General features: G+C 40.1%; 1 protein-coding gene across 14 annotated transcripts in view, besides 2 other annotated features; it reads left to right on the top strand.

Moving 5' to 3' along the window:
• Nucleotides 1–17397, top strand: part of ASH1L (ASH1 like histone lysine methyltransferase) — a 227935-nt gene that overhangs the window by 49152 nt on the left and 161386 nt on the right. The gene's annotated exons all lie outside the window — the stretch shown is intronic.
• Nucleotides 13536–14037: an enhancer, noted in NCBI's record as "NANOG hESC enhancer chr1:155469805-155470306 (GRCh37/hg19 assembly coordinates)". NCBI's record gives its function as "activates a minimal SCP1, AML or CMV promoter by ChIP-STARR-seq in naive H9 embryonic stem cells {active_cell/tissue: H9 hESC(naive)}" and the evidence as "EXISTENCE:reporter gene assay evidence [ECO:0000049][PMID:30033119]".
• Nucleotides 13686–13855: an enhancer, noted in NCBI's record as "active region_1816". NCBI's record gives its function as "activates an Ori minimal core promoter by ATAC-STARR-seq in GM12878 lymphoblastoid cells {active_cell/tissue: GM12878}" and the evidence as "EXISTENCE:reporter gene assay evidence [ECO:0000049][PMID:35858748]".

The raw sequence follows: 17397 nt of genomic DNA, 5'->3' as shown, positions 1-17397 counted from the left end.
CCTTAGGTAACTGCCTTATTTCCCTTAGCATAATGTCCTCAAGGTTGTCCATCTTGGAGTATGTCAGAGTTGCTTTCGTTTTTAAGGCTGAATAATATTCCAGTGTATGTATATACCAAATTTTGTTCATTCTATGGATATGTCAGATTCAGAAGCTGTTTGTGAATTTTTAGGTTAATGTGATTGTCAACTATTAATTTCTAGATTTGTTCAGCTATTACTTTTCTGGGTAGTATTTTACTAGATAAGTTAATCTAGTCCATCTATGGATGGCCACTGGTATTGCTTCCAGCTTTTAACAGTTGTGACTAATGCTGAACATGTGTGTAGAAATATCTGAGTCCCTGCTTTCACATCTTTTGGGTATGTATATATGTGGAAGTGGAATTTTTGGTCGTATTGCAATTTTTTTGGTAAGAGATTGGGTGTCGCTGTGTCACCCAGGCTGGACATTGTAATTCTTTTTTTTTTTTTTTTTTGATACAGGATCTCACTCCTGTTGCCCTGGCTGGAGTGCAGTGGCATAATCACAGCTCACTGCAGCCTTGACCTCCTGGGCTCAGATGATTCTGCCATCTCAGCCTCTTGAGTAGACCGGCTACAGGCATGCACAACCACTCCTGGCTCATTTTTTGTATTTTTAGTAGACATGGGGGTTTCACCATGTTGCCCAGGCTGATCTTGAACTCCTGGACAGGCTGGACAGTCTGTCTGTCTCAGCCTCCCAAAGTGCTAGGATTTACATGTGAGCCACTGTGCCTGGCTGGGGCATTATAATTCTATGTTTAATTTTTTGAAAGAATTACCATACTGTTTTCCACAGGGGCTGTACAATTTTACATTCCCACCAGGAACTCACAAGTATTCTGGTTCTTCCACATCCTCGGTAACAGTTATTCTGTATTTTTAAAAAATTATAGCCATCCTAATGTGTAGGAGTTACTCATTATATTTATAATTTATTATTATATATCTATAGTTTTGTTTGTTTGAGACAGCATCTTGCTATTGCCTAGGTTGGAGTGCAGTGATGTGATTAGGCTCACTGTAGCCTTGACCTTGACCTCCTGGGCTCAAGCAATCCTACCGCCTCAGCCTCCCAAGAAGCCGCGGCTACAGGTGTGTGCCACCACACTTCTAATATTTTTATATTTTGTAGAAATGTTGCTCCTTATGTTGCCCAGGCTGGTCTTGAAATCCTGGGCTCAAGTGATCCTCCCATCTCAGCCCCCCAAAGTGCTGGGATTACAAGGTGTCAGCCACCGTGCCAGTGAGCCACTGTGCCCAGCTTGATATGTGTTTTTTTGTTTTTTAAACATAAGACTAATCGCAGCACTTTGGGAGGCCGAGGCGGGTGGATCACTTGAGGTCAGGAATTTGAGACCAGCCTGAACAATATGGTGAAACCCCATCTCTACTAAAAATACAAAAATTAGCTGGGTGTGGTGGTGAGCACCTATACCCCCAGCTACTCAGGAGGCTGAAGCAAGAGAAGCTCTTGAACCCAGGAGGTGGAGGTTGCAGTGAGCCGAGATCACACTACTGCACCCCTGCCTGAGTCACAGAGTGAGACTCCATCTCAAAAAAAAAAAAAAAAAAAAAGTCTAAGATCCTTTGCCTTTCTTTTTTTTTAAAAGACAGAGTCTCACTCTGTCACCCAGGCTTGCATGCAGTGGCGTGATCTCGGCTTACTGCAACCTCTGCTGCCCAGGTTCAAGCCATTCTCCTGCCTCAGCCTCCCGAGTAGCTGGGATTACAGGTGCATGCCACCACGCCCTGTGCTGCGCCTGGCGGATCTTTTGCCTTTCTACTTTATCTTCAGTGCTCCAAAAGAAGCAGCCCTGGAACTCCTATTGAGATTGTGATAAAGGATTGTGATAAAGGATAGTATTTTCTCCTTTACTGACCATAGGGAAATAAGAGAATAAGAAACAATCTTGGCTGGGCACAGTGGCTCACACCTGTAATCCCAGCACTTTGGGAGACCCAGGCGGGTGGATCACCTGAGGTCGGGAGTTCGAGACCAGCCTGACCAACATGGAGAAACCCTGTCTCTACTAAAAATACAAAAAATTAGCCGGGCGTGGTGGTGCATGCCTGTAATCCCAGCTACTTGGGAGGCTGAGACAGGAGAATCGCTTGAACCCAGGAGGAAGAGGTTGTGGTGAGCCGAGATCCCGGCATTGCACTCCAGCCTGGGCAACAAGAGCAAAACTCCATCTCAAAAAGAAAAGAAAGAAACAATCTTGCCGGGCGTGGTGGCTCACCCCTGTAATCCCAGCAGTTTAGGAGGCCAAGGTGGGTGGATCACAAGGTCAAGAGATCGAGACTATGCTGGCCAACATGGTGAAACTCTGTCTCTACTAAAAATACAGAAATTAGCTGGGTGTGGTGGCTCACGCCTGTAGTCCCAGTGACTCAGGAGGCTGAGGCAGGAGAATCACTTCAGCCCGGGAGGCGGAGGTTGCAGTGAGCCGAGATTGCGCCACTGCACTCCACCCTGTCTCAAAAACAAACAAACAAGAAACAGTCTTGGTTTGTTCATGAAAGAATCTTGATTTGTTTGTGTCCTACTCTTAATTGTAATACCTTGTTAAGGAATAATTGACAGTGGATTGAAGTTTGGAAAGTCTCCAGAGAGGGAATAAAACCTCAGAATCTCCTGAATCTAGAAAAACATTGTTAAGTATATCAAACTGCAGTGATCCCTGTGGGAATTTTGTAGTTTCAGTGTAGTGAAGATGGCTAATGAATTAGACTCAAAAATAGAATGCCACATTTAGATTACTGTTCTAATGTTTCTTTGCATAAACTTTGGTTCCAGTGAGTTCTTAACTGTGGTGGTGTTTTGCAAACAAAGGGAAACCTGAAGACATTTTCAGTATATTCGTCTTCTTTATTTCCTTTAAGAAAAGGTTATTCTGCTTGATGATTTATGTATCACATATCATGGATGGTTAATGCATAGTATGTTATGTCATATTTCATACTTTTATTACTTGGAAATTTTTATTTTAAAATGTCAGACTCATATTTGAGGTTCAAAAGTTGAGAATTTTTAGGTTAATAACATGATTTTCAACTGTCAATTTCTAGATTTGTTCAGGTGTCATTTTTCTGGGTAATATTTTGCTATATAAAAGTTAATTATCTAATCAGTTTACTTTCAGTGAAAATTTTTGTTCTGTATATGTTTACTGTGGCTTCCATCAGCCTATTTTAGTTAAAAAACAAGACTTAATTTTAGCTGGGTAGTCTGGGTGACAGAGCGAGATCCTGTCTCCAAAAAAAAAAATGTGTTTTCAGGTTCATCTTCGCTTGGAGAATCATATCACATTAAGAATAAATTGTTGGGAATCAAAGTTGGTACAAAGAAACTTCCAGAAGAGTAACTCCAACATTGCTATCTTTGGTATCTTCCAGAAACATATTTGCACTTACAAACCAGTATGCATCCCCTACATACATGTTCTTTCCCCATTTTAAAATGTAAATAGTAGCACACTGTACCTACTGCTCTGTATCTTTTTTCTATTAAATAGTATATACTAAAGATTTTTCCATAACAAGACTATGAGAACTTCTTTAGCCCTTGGAAATGTGGCTTATATAATTTTTTTTTTTTTTTTTTTTTTTTTTGAGGCAGCCTTGCTCTGTCGTCCAGGCTTGAGTGCAGTGGTGCGATCTCGGCTCACTACAACCTCCGCCTCCCGGGTTCAAGCTTTTGTCTTGCCTCAGCCTCTTGAGTAGCTGGGATTACAGGTGTGCACCACCACGCCTGGGTAATTTTTGTATTTTTAGTAGAGACAGGGTTTCTCCAAATTGGTCAGGCTGGTCTCGAACTCCTGACCTTGTGATCCGTCCGCCTCAGCCTCTCAAAGTGCTGGGATTATAGGCACGAGCCGCTGCGCCCAGCATATAATTTTCTTTTTCCAGTTTGTTATTTGTCTTTAGACTTTGGTTATGTTATTTTGCCATGCAGAAATATTTAGCTTTTTACCTGATGTAATTTATAAATCTTTTTAAGGCTTCTGGATTTTTGACGTGTCATTAGAAAGACCTTCTTCCTTCGAAGTTTATAAAAGATTTCCTTATGTTGTTTTGCAGATCTTTGTAGTGTTTTGTTTTTTAACATATAAATCCTTGATCCATTTGGAGTTTGTTATGGTTTATGAGTTATGGTTCCAAATTTATCTCTTTCCAAATGGCTACATGGTTGTCCCAACACTTATTATTATTATTATTATCATTTGAGATGGAGTCTCGCTCTGTCGCCCAGGCTGGAGTGCAGTGGTGCAGTCTCGGCTCACTGCAACCTCTGCCTCCTGGGTTCAAGCAGTTCTTCTGCCTCAGCCTCCTGAGTAGCTGGGATTAGAGACACACACCATCATGCCCAGCTAATTTTTGTATTTTTAGTAGAGACAGGCTTTCCTCACGTTGGTCAGGCTGGTCTCGAACTCCTAACCTCAGGTGATCGGCCTGCTTTGGCCTCCCAAAGTGCTGGGGATTATAGGCGTGAGCCACCAAGCCCGGCCTCAACACTATTTTTAAGAAGTCCATCTTTACTTCTCTGATTTGAGAGGCTGCTTTGTCATACACTGAATTTCTTTATGTACTTGGTTCTAGTCTGATTTTCCTTTTAGTATCAATGATGTTTCTGTTTATTTACATTTTTTGTTTGTTTATTTTTAAGAGTCTGAGTCTTGTCTTTTTTAACCAGGCTGTGGTGCGGTGGTGTGATCATAGCTCACTGTAACCTTGAACTCCTGGGGATCATCCTGGGGATCAAGCTATCTTCCTGTCCCAGCCTGGCAAATCATTAGGATTACAGGTGTGAGCCATGGCACCCGGCCACCATGATACAGTTTTAAGTATTTTGTTTTATAGGTAGGACTAATCCATCCTCCTAACTTGTATTTTAGTGTGCTCCCTGTACTTTTGCCTATTAATTTATAAACAATGTAATTTCAGTGAAAATAATTTTTTTTTTCTAGAATGTGGCTGATTATAAAGTTTGTATATTGTTCATCTTTATCTGTGGTTGAATTTGGAGCCTAATTTGATGATGACTACTTTGAGAGGCTTTGACTTTAGTTTTCCAGGAGTTAGGGTACGTTACTGACACCTTTCCTGGGGTCTCTATTTTGCCCCTAGCGCATGACTTGATGCACTTACCCACTGTATTATTGTGCCTATTTAGGTCAGCCCTTTTTATTCTTTTCTTTTGGTCCTGTTGGAGCTTCTTCTTACTCCTATGAGGCAGCAGTGTAAGAAACGTATTTTATGCTGGTTTGAGTTATTTTGTTGTAATAGAAGACTCTTCACAGTATTTAGCGTAGCATATTGCTCTAAGTAGAAAGCCCCTGATTGTTTTATAAGAAATAATGTTCATTATTTTATTTTTACTTTTGAGACTAGAGTCTCACTGTGTCATACAGGCTGGAGTGCAGTGGTGCAATCTTGGCTCACTGCAATCTCCGCCTTCTGGGGTTCAAGTGATTCTTGTGCCTCAGCCTCCTGAGTAGCTGGGATTACAGGTGAATGCCATCATGTCTGGCTAATTTTTGTATTTTTAGTAGAGATGGGGTTTTGCCATGTTGGCTAGGCATGTCTCGAACTCCTGGCCTCAAGTTATCTGCCTGCCTTGACCTCCAAAGTGCTAGGATTACAGGCATGAGCCACCATGCTTGGACTCATTATTAATTTTATAGCAGGTTTTCCTGTTTTCTTTTTTCCTCCCAAGTGGAAAGAAAAACTTTCTTGTAATTTTTCTCTAAAAATTTATGTTTGGCTTTGATGCAGTTACATGTGGTGTCTGCCATTTCATAAGCTGTCAGAATGGTACATTCATTTTTCTACAGCAGTATTTTAGAAAGTGAAAGTAGAGATGGAAGTCACAATATTTACTTGTATTTATCACACAGTAACTTAAAAGGAGATGGAGCAATGGTACATTTCTTTCCAGCATTTAAAGAAAATTCCGTTTTTGGAGTTACATAATACGTGATTGTAGTTCATTTAGTATGCTTAGCCAAAAAAAAAAAAAAAGTCAAGTATACAAGCTTGCAATAAAAAGTTCTACTATATTAGGAAGTCAGAGTTGAGGAGGTACACAAAGGCATCTTGGCAAAAATGCACAAATGGTGGATACATAACATTTTTTAAGAGACACGGTCTTCTTCTAAAGAGGCAGTCTGTTGCCCAAGGCTGTGCAGTGGCATGATCATGGTTCACAGCAGTCTTGGCTCCCATGGGCTTAGGTGATCCTCCCATCTCAGCTTCCGGAATCACTAGGACCACAGGTGTGTGCCACCGCACTTGGCTAATTTTATTTTATTTTTTATAGAGACAGTGTCTTGTTGTGTTGCCCAGGCTGTTCTCGAACTCCTGTGCTGAATCGATCCTCCTGCCTTGTCCTCCCAACATACTGGGATTACAGGCGTGAGCCACTGCATTTGGTCATATCATTATACCATGTCTCATGATTATGATGAGCAGATTACGTATTAGTCAAATAGCATTGAAATTTGGTGCTTTGTTGACTAACATTTTTGTCATTGGATAGTTTATTTGATGTTACTTTAGTCTAGATGAGTGGATTTCATGAGCACAATGAATTACAAGTAAAATTTATAGCCATAATTATAATTTCCAGTCCAAAAATGGTTTTCTGTTTAGAAAAGAAAATTCTATGCCATCTTAATAGATTTAAGAAGCAGTTCGTTGAAGAAATAATTTTGAATTTCAGTGAAGCGTTTTTTTTTTTTTTTGAGACGGAGTTTCGCTCTTGTTGGCCAGGCTGGAGTGCCATGGCGCGATCTCGGCACACCGCAACCTCCACCTCCTGGGTTCAAGCGATTCTCCTGCCTCAGCCTCCCGAGTAGCTGGCATTGCAGGCACGCACCACCATGTCTGGCTAATTTTGTATTTTTAATAGACAGGGTTTCTCCATGTTGGTCAGGCTCATTTCGAACTCCTGACCTCAGGTGGCCTGCCCGCCTTGGCCTCCCAAAGTGCTGGGATTACAGGCGTGAGCCACTGCGCCTGGCCTAAGTGATTTTTTTGGAGAATTATTATTACTTTTTAAACAAAATTTGATAAAGTTAAATATTTTTCTTTTTTGTAGAAACAGTCTGGCTATGTTGGCCAGGCTGGTCTTGAACTCCTGGGGTCAAACGATCCTCCTACCTCAGCCTCTCAAAGTGCTAGGATTACAGGTGTGAGCCACCATACCCGGCTGAGAATTATTAAAACCCACATGAATCCAAGTATTAGACTTAAAGCCTGTCCTGGAATTTAAAATTTTATAATGCTATATAACTGGTAGATTAATGTTTCTTTTTCTTTTTTTTATTTGAGATGGAGTCTCGGTCCATTGCCCAGGCAGTTCAGTGGCATAATCTTGGCCACACTGCAGTCTCCACCTCCCAGGTTCAAGCAGTTTTCCCACCTCAGCCTCCCAGGTAGCTGGTACTACAGGCACACGCCACCATGCCTGGCTAATTTTTGTATTTTTAGTAGAGACGGGGTTTTGCTATGTTGGCCAGGCTAATCTTGAACTCCTGACCTCAGGTGATCCACCCACTTCGGCCTCCCAAAGTGCTAGGATTACAGGCGTGAGCCACCGTGCCCAGCCTAATGTTGTTTCTTAAATAAGAAAAATGGATAATAATAGTGCCTTAGTTCTTGCTCGGTAGAGATTATTTGCCTGGCAGTTTTTAAAGTGCTGCAAACAAGTTCCAATTATTTTGAAATAGAGTTGTTGGAAAAAAATTGGTATGACATTACCTAGGTTTTGGATTTTTTTCCTTTGTATTTGTTAGATAATAATAGTGTATTAACATATACACCAAGGAATACTATGCAGCCATAAAAAAGAATGAGTTCATGTCATTTGTAGGGACATAGATGAAGCTGGAAACCATCATTCTGAGCAAACTATTGCAAGGGCAGAAAACCAAACACTGCATGTTCTCACTCATAGGTGGGAATTGAACAATGAAAACACTTGGCCACAGGGTGGGAAACATCACACATCGGGGCCTGTCGTGGGGTGGGGGCAGGGGGGAGGGATAGCATTAGGAGATATACCTAATGTAAATGACGAGTTAATGGGTGCAGCACACCAACATGGCACAGGTATACATATGTAACAAACCTGCACGTTGTACACATGTACCCTAGAACTTAAAGTATAATAAAAAATAATGATAATAATAGTGTGTTAGGTTTTCTAGATAATAATAGTTCCTTTAAATTATACCCTATTTTAAGTTAGCCCAGTTTTCTATAAAATGTATATATTTTAAATTGAGATATAATTCAAATACTGTAAAATTTATCCTTTTAAAATGTACAGTTCAGTGTTTTTAGTATATTCAGTATGTTAAGTGTATACAGAGTTACGAAACCATTATTAATAATTTTAAACATTGTCATCTTAATAAACATTTTCATCTTAAATTTGTATCTTTCGTGTGCCTTTTATACTTAAAATAACTGATCAAAAGGACTAATATTTTGATTTATACTTTCACAAAGGAGGTTACAGTTTTATATCACTTAACTTTGCCCATAGTCTCTAGTGCAGAGTCACAACATTCTTTGATTTGTTTTTCCACGTGCTGTAAAAAAAAATTGTGCTATGACATGATAACTGCCATGATAGAAATACATACGGAGTGTATATGTGAATCGCAGAATCATTGGAGAAGGTGGTGAGCAAGAGAATATGCAAAGAAGGGCTCATGCTTAAAATTAGGTGTTGACAACTTTGTCAGAATTTGCTGGAAAGAGAAAGGCTTTTGGGACAAAGTAAATAATAAAGGGAAAATGCACACTTAGGATGTCTCACAGGGTTTTCTCAGTTGTGCTGTAAAACAAGAATTTGACAGTTCTTTACTGTAGGTAAATAGTAAGAAAATATAAATAATGAGGCCGGGCGCAGTGGAAAAAAACAAAAAGAATTGCATGACCATACTTATTTTTTCTTAGGATTTTTCTTTGGTTTTTTGTTTGTTTGTTTGTTTTTAAGTTTGTGGTCCTACTTTGTAGTAGGATTCCTCTTAGAGGAAAAATTAAAAGATAAAACCACTTTTTTGGACTATTTTTCTGTTTCAGAAATTTGGGTTTGCTTTGGTAAGTAGGGGCCCTGTCATTTATAGCTGTAATGGTAAATCTTTTTTTTTTTTTTTTTGAGATGGAGTTTCAGTCTTGGTTGCCCAGGCTGGAGACAATGGTGTTATCTCAGCTCACTGCAACCTCTGCCTCCTGGGTTCAAGAGATTATCCTGCCTCAGCCTCCCGAGTAGCTGGGATTACAGTTGTGTGCCACCATGCCTGGCTAATTTTTGTATTTTTAGTAGAGATGCGGTTTCACCATGTTGGTCAGGCTGGTCTTGAACTCCTGACCTCAGGTGATCCGACTGCCTTGGCCTCCCAAAGTGCTGGGATTACAGGCCTGAGCCACCGCGCCCAGCCAGTAAATACTAACAAAGTCAGATAAGTACCTGACTTTTATTTTACAAATATGTGCATAATTAATAGTGAACTACCCTGGTCTTCATGAGAGAGTGAAAGTCAAGCTATATAATATTGGGGCAGATTCGTAGAGCTTCTTTATCTTACAGAACTGCAACAGCAGGTGGCATTAGAGATCAGGTTTAAGGGTGAGTTGCAACGTATTTTTAATAGTTGCCACTATTAGGAAGGGAAGTAACACATATTGGGGATTCAGGGTACAACTGGCAAAGCTCAGCTTGACCCTTGGGTGTTGCTGATCTGTTAGAAGATTCTCCGTATGTGTATATATTTTTTTAAACTAACCACTAAAAAATATAGCAATTAAGAATTACCTTCCAAGAAGAAAGGGAAAATAATGTTTTATGTCTAATACCTACCTTTCCATATCCCAAACTAAACAGTTGAAAAATAAGAGGGTGTCATCCAGGGCCTACTTAATAACGTTTACCTTTTCTTTACAAATGAATGTCATTTTGCACCAGCAGATGCCTTATGTCAAGAGTTATGGGCTGGACATGGTGGCTCCCACCTGTAATCCTAGCACTTAGGGAGGCCAGGGTGGGTGGGTGGCTTGAGCTCAGGAGTTCAAGACCAGTCTGGCAACATGGTGAAACCCCCCTGTACAAAAAATACAAATGTTAGCCAGGCATGGTGGCTTACACCTGTTGTCCCAGCTACTCAGGATGCTGAGGCAGGAGGATCACTTGAGCACAGGAGGTCGAGGCTGCAGTAAGTTGTGTTCATGCCACTGTACTGCAGCCTAGGTGATAGAGAGATGAAGTGGAATATATGATTGGATAAGGACTTACAGGGAAGAGGGTGGTAGTTTACATATTAACTGTGGCTTCCCTGGAACTGCTTAATGTAAATACGGATCTTTCTATAATCTGGATTATGCATACTAATGCTTTAGTTTCTCTAAAATCAATGACCTAAATTGAGAGAATACTGATTATTAAAAGAAGATAATGTCAACAAAGATGTCAGAAATGTTATTAAGGTGAAATTGTAACCAGAACTCACTTTTGAAACAAAACAGGTACTGAACTAGTGTTTATTTTTTAACAGCCAAGTCCTAATTTACTATGTATATTTTACTTTTATTTTTGGAAAACATATCAAAGTATACAAGCTTGCAATAAAAAGTTCTACTATATTAGGAAGTCAGAGTTTAGGAGGTACACAAAGGCATTTTGACAAAAATGCACAGATGGTAGATACACTAGAATATTTTAGCTGTATTGAGTGAAGCTACATTGAATTACTAACATCTGAGGATATATATGAAGGCACAAAAATGATCCTAACATCTTTCTGTAGGATTTGATAGTAACTCTCACAGTAAAAACAGTGAAACAAAATGGCACCTGCTTCTCAGCCTCACTTTTTCATTTCTTAGCAAAATTACTGAGTGTGATTATTGTGTAGTTCCTTGCCTAGTCTTTGATTTTACGGGCTGGGGGCTCCAAAAGATTGCTGAGGAGATCAAAAGCAGATGCTGAAAATTATAAGCCAAGGCAGGGGAGCTTGGTAACCTTTCTTTCTAAGCTGTTTGTTGATTATAACGGTTAGGGCAATTATGAAGGTTAGGAATTATGAAATATGGAAATTCTCCTAAGCATACTTGGTAACTCTTAAAAATTCTATTTGTCTCAACCTCGATAACTAAAATTACCTAAGATAAATGAGAAAAATTAGAAAAGCAAATTTAATCACTAAATTTCTAAATAAAAAGCAAAAAGGATAAAAAAGTTTCACTGTGCAAGGAGAAAGGAAGGAGGATGAGGGAATGGAAAGACTCAGCTTAGACATCCCCCAATTCTGTGAAACGTTCCCTGAACCTTTCTAGGAGGTTACTCTATCCTCTGTGTTTCCATTGCATATATTTCTGTTTTTAACATATAGCACATTGTATAATAATTATTAATTGATTTCTCTATTTCTTTGGCTCCTTCAGTGTCAGGGTGATCTTTTAAGTTTGTGCTTTTTATGAGCAACACAGAAAATGCTTTAAAAACAGTTCAGTAAGACTGAAGAAAAGATCTGTAAGCATAAAACAAATACCATCATCATTACCAAAAATTCAGTGCTTAAAATATAGCTTGAGAATGTGAGTATTTATTTCCTTATTCCTAAGATTTTGCTTTTGAATACACTATCTGCCGGGCGCGGTGGCTCATGCCTGTAATCCCAGCACTTTGGGAGGCCAAGGCGGGCGAATCACAAGATCAAGAGATCGAGACTATCCTGGCCAACATGGTGAAACCCCATTTCTACTAAAAATACAAAAAATTAGCTGGGTGTGGTGGTGCGTGCCTATAATCTCAGCTACTCGGGAGGCTGAGGCAGAAGAGTTGCTTGAACCCGGGAGGCGGAGGTTGCAGTGAGCCAAGATCGCGCCATTGCACTCCAACCCGGATGACAGTGTGAGACTCTGTCTCAAAAAAAAAAAAAAAAAGAAAAGAAAAGAAAAGAAAACTGTCATAACTGTATTACTCAAATATTTCCTCTTCTCTCATTTGCTAAAAATATATAGTAAAACTTTCATGCCTATTTAAAACAATCTCTAGGCCGAGTGCAGTGGCTCATGCCTGTAATCCCAGCATTTTGGGAGGTTGAGGCAGGCGGATCATGAGGTCAATAGATCGAGACCATCCTGGCCAACATGGTGAAACCCCGTTTCTACTAAAAATACAAAAGTTAGCTGGGCATGGTGGCGTGTGCCTGTAGTCTCAGCTACTTGGGAGGCTGAGGCAGGAGAATCGCTTGAACCCGGGAGGTGGAGGTTGCAGTGAGCCGAGATTGCGCCACTGCGCTTCAGCCTGGTGACAGAGCGAGACTCTGTCTCAAAAAAATGAATGAATAAAACAATCTGTAGATTGCTATTTTTAAGAAATTGCGGATGCCAAGGTGGGCAGATCACCCGCGGTCAGGAGTTCAAGACCAGCCTAGTCAACATGGCAAAACCTGGTCTCTACTAAAAATATAAAAATTAGCCAGGAATGGTGACACCCACCTGTAGTCCCAGCTACTTGGAGGGATGGAGTACGATAATCACTTGAAACCGGGAGGTGGAGATTGCAGTGAGCTGAGATTGTGCTACTGCACTCCAGCCTAGGTGATAGAGTGAGACAATATGTAATAAATAATTAGGAACATCTGAAAGTAATCTTAGTTTAAGAAAACATTTTGAAGTTGGGCATGGTGGCTTAGGCTTGTAATCCCAGTTACTCAGAAGACTTGAGGCAGGAGGATTGCTTGAGGCCAGGAGTTTAAATCCATCCTTGGCAACGTAACAAGACCCCATTTCTGATTTTAAAAATAAGGAAGAAAGACAAAACATTTTTAGATGTCAAACACCTTTTGAAAGAGTTTAACACATCTTAATGACTTACCCCAAATAGGTGGTACCATATGAACCCAAGTCAAACAATTTTATTATTAATACTATGGGGTATTGTGTTTTTCCAATTGCCTTTTGTTTTGTTTTTATTTTTTAAACCAATTCTTTGTGTTTAGGCTCCTTAGCTCTTTTTTTTTAAATATAGTTTCTTTTTATTTAGAGACAGAGTCTCATTCTGTCGCCCAGGCTGGAGTGCAGTGGTGCAATATCAGCTCATTGCAACCTCTGCCTCCCAGGTTCAAGCGATTCTCATGCCTCAGTCTCCTGAGTAGCTGAGATTACAGGCATGTGCCACCATGTTCGGCTAATTTTGTATTTTTAGTAGAGACAGGGTTTCGCCATGTTGACCAGTTTGGTATCAAACTCCTGGCCTCAAGTGATCTGCACGCCTAGGCCTCCCAAAATTCTGGGATTACAGGTGTGAGACACCACGCCCAGTCTAGGCTCCTCAGCTCTTACCAGAGAATTTGGGACTTGTTAATAGGAGAAGATAGGCACATTCTGTCATCTTACTTGTGCCCTATGGGCTGCGTGCCATCTCAGAGTGCTTTTTTTTTTCCTTATGCCTATTTATGAAGAGGTCCAGAATGCATGTCTACATTATTTGACTGCTGCGTTTTCACTTCCATGTTCTTGTTGACAAATGCTATTCAAGCAAGAAGACCCGATTGTATGTAGGTATCTCTGAGTCTTGCTATGATGGATTCTGTAGTCTTACCTTCATCTTGATTGTTTACTTTAAAAGCTGCTTAAGCTAGAGGTATTTTTATGGTAGAGAAGAGAACAGTTGGCACAGAGCCCAGCTTCTCCATGGCAGCAGCAATTATGCAAATTATCCTGGATCTTTACATTTCAGTAAAACCTTTCTTCCCCCTTTACATACACAAAATAGACAGCTAAGGGGCTGTGATCTGTCCTAAAGCCTTGGAGATAAAACAGGATGTCACTCTTTTCTCAAAATGACTTCTATTACGGAAGCATGAGCTCCCTTAAATGGAAGGGCAAAGCAAATCCCTGCCATTGGGCTCTGCAGCCTCTGCTATAAATGTGCCAGGAAGATTAAAACTACCGTAATTAGTTTAATCAGGTTCATCCTCAATTCTTGCTTTCATTATGTAGTAGGAACTTCCCTAATCAGTACTGCATTTGGCTGATTGAAGAGTTCACTTTCATAGCTAGGATATCTGCTGGAGTCTGTATTGTGGTTTGTTTTAATGGTGTATATATGGTGAATGTGAATGTTTCTCATTTCATTGTTGATCTTGCTAATGGAAAAAAAAAATCATTATTGAACCAAATTGTTAGAAGGTATATCTTCTTTAGTCCCAGAGAATTAAGCCTAAATATCATTACTTTCACTCACTAATTCGTATACTGCTTTTTATGGTTGTCTGCTCATATCTTTGATTTCATTTTAATGATTGTAAATCACTCCAGAGATCCTCACATACGGCTGCTCAATAATTACACATTACTAATTAATTCTGAGCTACAGCTGTATGGAAATGAATGAAAGCTTTTTGAGAGACATCAGAATTAAAGGTCCTATATGATAAGATGACAAAACCTGGAACTTTTATGAAAATTCATTAATAGGAAGACAAGATGAAACTTAATGATGAAAGAAAAGTTTCCTCTCTGACCTCACTTTGTGAGTCAAAATCACTGAGTACATAGTTCAAAATTGTACCTCTTTCGTAACTAGTTAGATGGGGATAGGGAGAAATCCTGTGAGAAAGACTATAGATGAAGTCAGATTTGCAGTGGTTTTTCATGTTGGGAATAAAAGAGGTGTTAAAAAGACCCTGAAGACTTTGTCCTCTGCCACTGGGACAAATTGACACCTTATGTCTATTCCTTAAATTATATAGCAAGAAGAACTTCTTGGGTGGTGGAAGTTTACATCACATGATGATTTCTATATTAGTATTGCCATTATTTTATCATAATTTATTTAAGAAATTATGCTAGTAACATGTTTTGGCTTACTCTTGATCCTATGAGGGCCATATAATGAGGATAGAATTTGGGGCTTCAGTGTGGAATATAAAATTCAAGTTCAGCATCTAATGGTTTTGTAATTTAAGAAAAGCCCATTGTGGTCTGCTTTTGAAAAGAAAATATTTGGTGACTTTCTATTAAAATGCATTCTTGACCTATATGTTTAATTTTCTTTAATATTTCTTTTTGGCTTTTTTTTTTTTTTTTTACTCCTGTTCTCAGATGTTTTGGTTCTCTTTTGATTATATGCCACAAACTGAAGCGTACTTTTCTTGAAAGTGTTTTCTGGGCCAGGCGCAGTGGCTGATGCCAAGGAGTTCAAGACCAGCCTGGGCAACATAGAGAGACCCTGTCTCTACAAAACATTTTTAAAAACTAGCCGGCTGGTCAGGCACAGTGGCTTATGCCTGTAATCCCAGCACTTTGGGAGGCTGAGGCAGGCAGATTACCTGAGTTCGGGAGTTCAAGACCAGCCTGACCAACATGGAGAAACCCCATCTCGACTAAAACTACAAAATTAGCCAGGCGTGGTGGCACACACCTGTAATCCCAGCTACTTGGAAGGCTGAGGGAGGAGAATCGCTTGAACCCGGGAGGCAGAGGTTGCGGTGAGCCGAGATAATGCCATTGCACTCCAGCCTGGGCAACAAAAGCGAAACTCTGTCTCAAAATACAAAAAACAAAACAAAACAAAAAAATGAACAAACAAAAACCAAAAAAACTAGCCATGCATGGTGGTGTGTGCCTGTAGTCCCGTCTTCTCAGGAGGCTGAGGTAACATTAAGTACATTTACATTGTTTTGCAGCCCTCACCATCCGTTCTTCTCTACAGTTTTTTTTTAATCTTCTGCAACTGAAATTGTGTATCTATTGAACAGTGACTCCCCTGTTACCCCTCCTAGAAGCCCCTGGCAACCACTATTCTGTTTTCTGTCTTTATGAATTTGACTGTTCTGGTTACCTCATATGTAAGTGGAATCATGCAATATTTGTCTGCTGGTGACTGGCTTGTTTCACTTAGCATAGTATCTTTAAAGTTTATCCATGTTTTAGCATTCGTTAGAATTTTCTTTTGGCCGGGCGTGGTGGCTCACGCCTGTAACCCCAGCACTTTGGGAGGCCGAGGCGGGTGGATCTCAAGGTCAGGAGATCGAGACCATCCTGGCTAACACGGTGAAACCCTGTCTCTACTAAAAATACAAAAAAAAATTAGCCATGCCTGGTGGCAGGCGCCTGTAGTCCCAGCTACTCAGGAGGCTGAGGCAGGAGAATGGCATGAACCCGGGAGGCGGAACTTGCAGTGAGCCGAGATCGTGCCACGGCACTTCCAGCCTGAGCGACAGAGTGAGACTCCGTCTCAAAAAAAAAAAAAAAGAATTTTCTTCTTTTATGGCTGAATAATATTCCATTGTGTGTACATTTGACCCTTTAACAATGCTGAAGTTATGGGCACCAACTCCACACACAGTTGAAAATCCAAGTATAACTTTTGACTCCCCCAGAACGTAACTGCTAATAGTCTACTGTTGACCAGAAGCCTTAACGATAACATAGCCTGTTAACACATATTTAATGTTATATGTATTATGTACTATATTCTTAAAGTAAGAGAATAGAAAATGAAATATTTACACTGTTCGTTAAGTTGAAGTTGATAAGGTTGTCATCCTTATCGTCTTCATTTTGAATAGGCCAAGGAGGAAGAGTAGGGGTTGGTCTTGCTGTCTAAGGGGTAGCAGAGGTGGAAGAAAATCTCCATATGCTATGAAGCCTGCACAGTTCAAACTTTTGTTGTTCAAGAATCAGTTGTATATACCATATTTCATTTATTCATCCATTGATGAACTGTGAAGCAGCCTGCTTTTGGCTGTTGTGACTAACTAATGCTTCCATGAACATGGATTTACAAATACCTGTTCCAGTTCCTGCTTTCACTTCTTCTGGGTGTCTGCAAGTTTAAGAATCAAAATTTTAAACAAATCAAATTGGCACTAGATAAGTTACTTGTAAGGTTTGTATGGAAAAATAAGCAAGAGTAGCCACAACTTTTCTGAAAAGAACAGTAACTAGAAATCAGGCTTATTAGATAATAAAACAGAAATTAAAAGGGTTAGAATATTGTGGTTGTGGTGGACTGGCAGACGGAAAATCACTGACGCCGAATAGAAAATCTAATAATTGGCTGGGTGGGGTGGCTTACACCTGTAATCTCAGCACTTTGGGAGGTTGTGACGGGAGAATTGCCCGAGCCCGGGAGTTTGAGACCAGCCTGGGCAACATAGTGAGACCCCCACCTCTCTACAAAAATTAAAAAAAAAAAATAGCCAAGCGTGATTGCACATGCTTGTGATCCCAGCTACTCAGGAGGCTGAGGTGGAAGGATTGCTTGAGCCCAGGAGGTCAAGGCTACAATGAGCCACGTTCTTGCCACTGAACTCCAGCCTATGTGACAGAGCAAGACTCCACCTCAAA

The sequence above is a fragment of the Homo sapiens genome, chromosome 1, assembly GCF_000001405.40.
Source record: "Homo sapiens chromosome 1, GRCh38.p14 Primary Assembly".
Classification (NCBI taxonomy): domain Eukaryota; kingdom Metazoa; phylum Chordata; class Mammalia; order Primates; family Hominidae; genus Homo; species Homo sapiens.
Note: the sequence above shows the minus strand (reverse complement) of the source record. Positions and strands in the feature narration are given on the sequence as shown.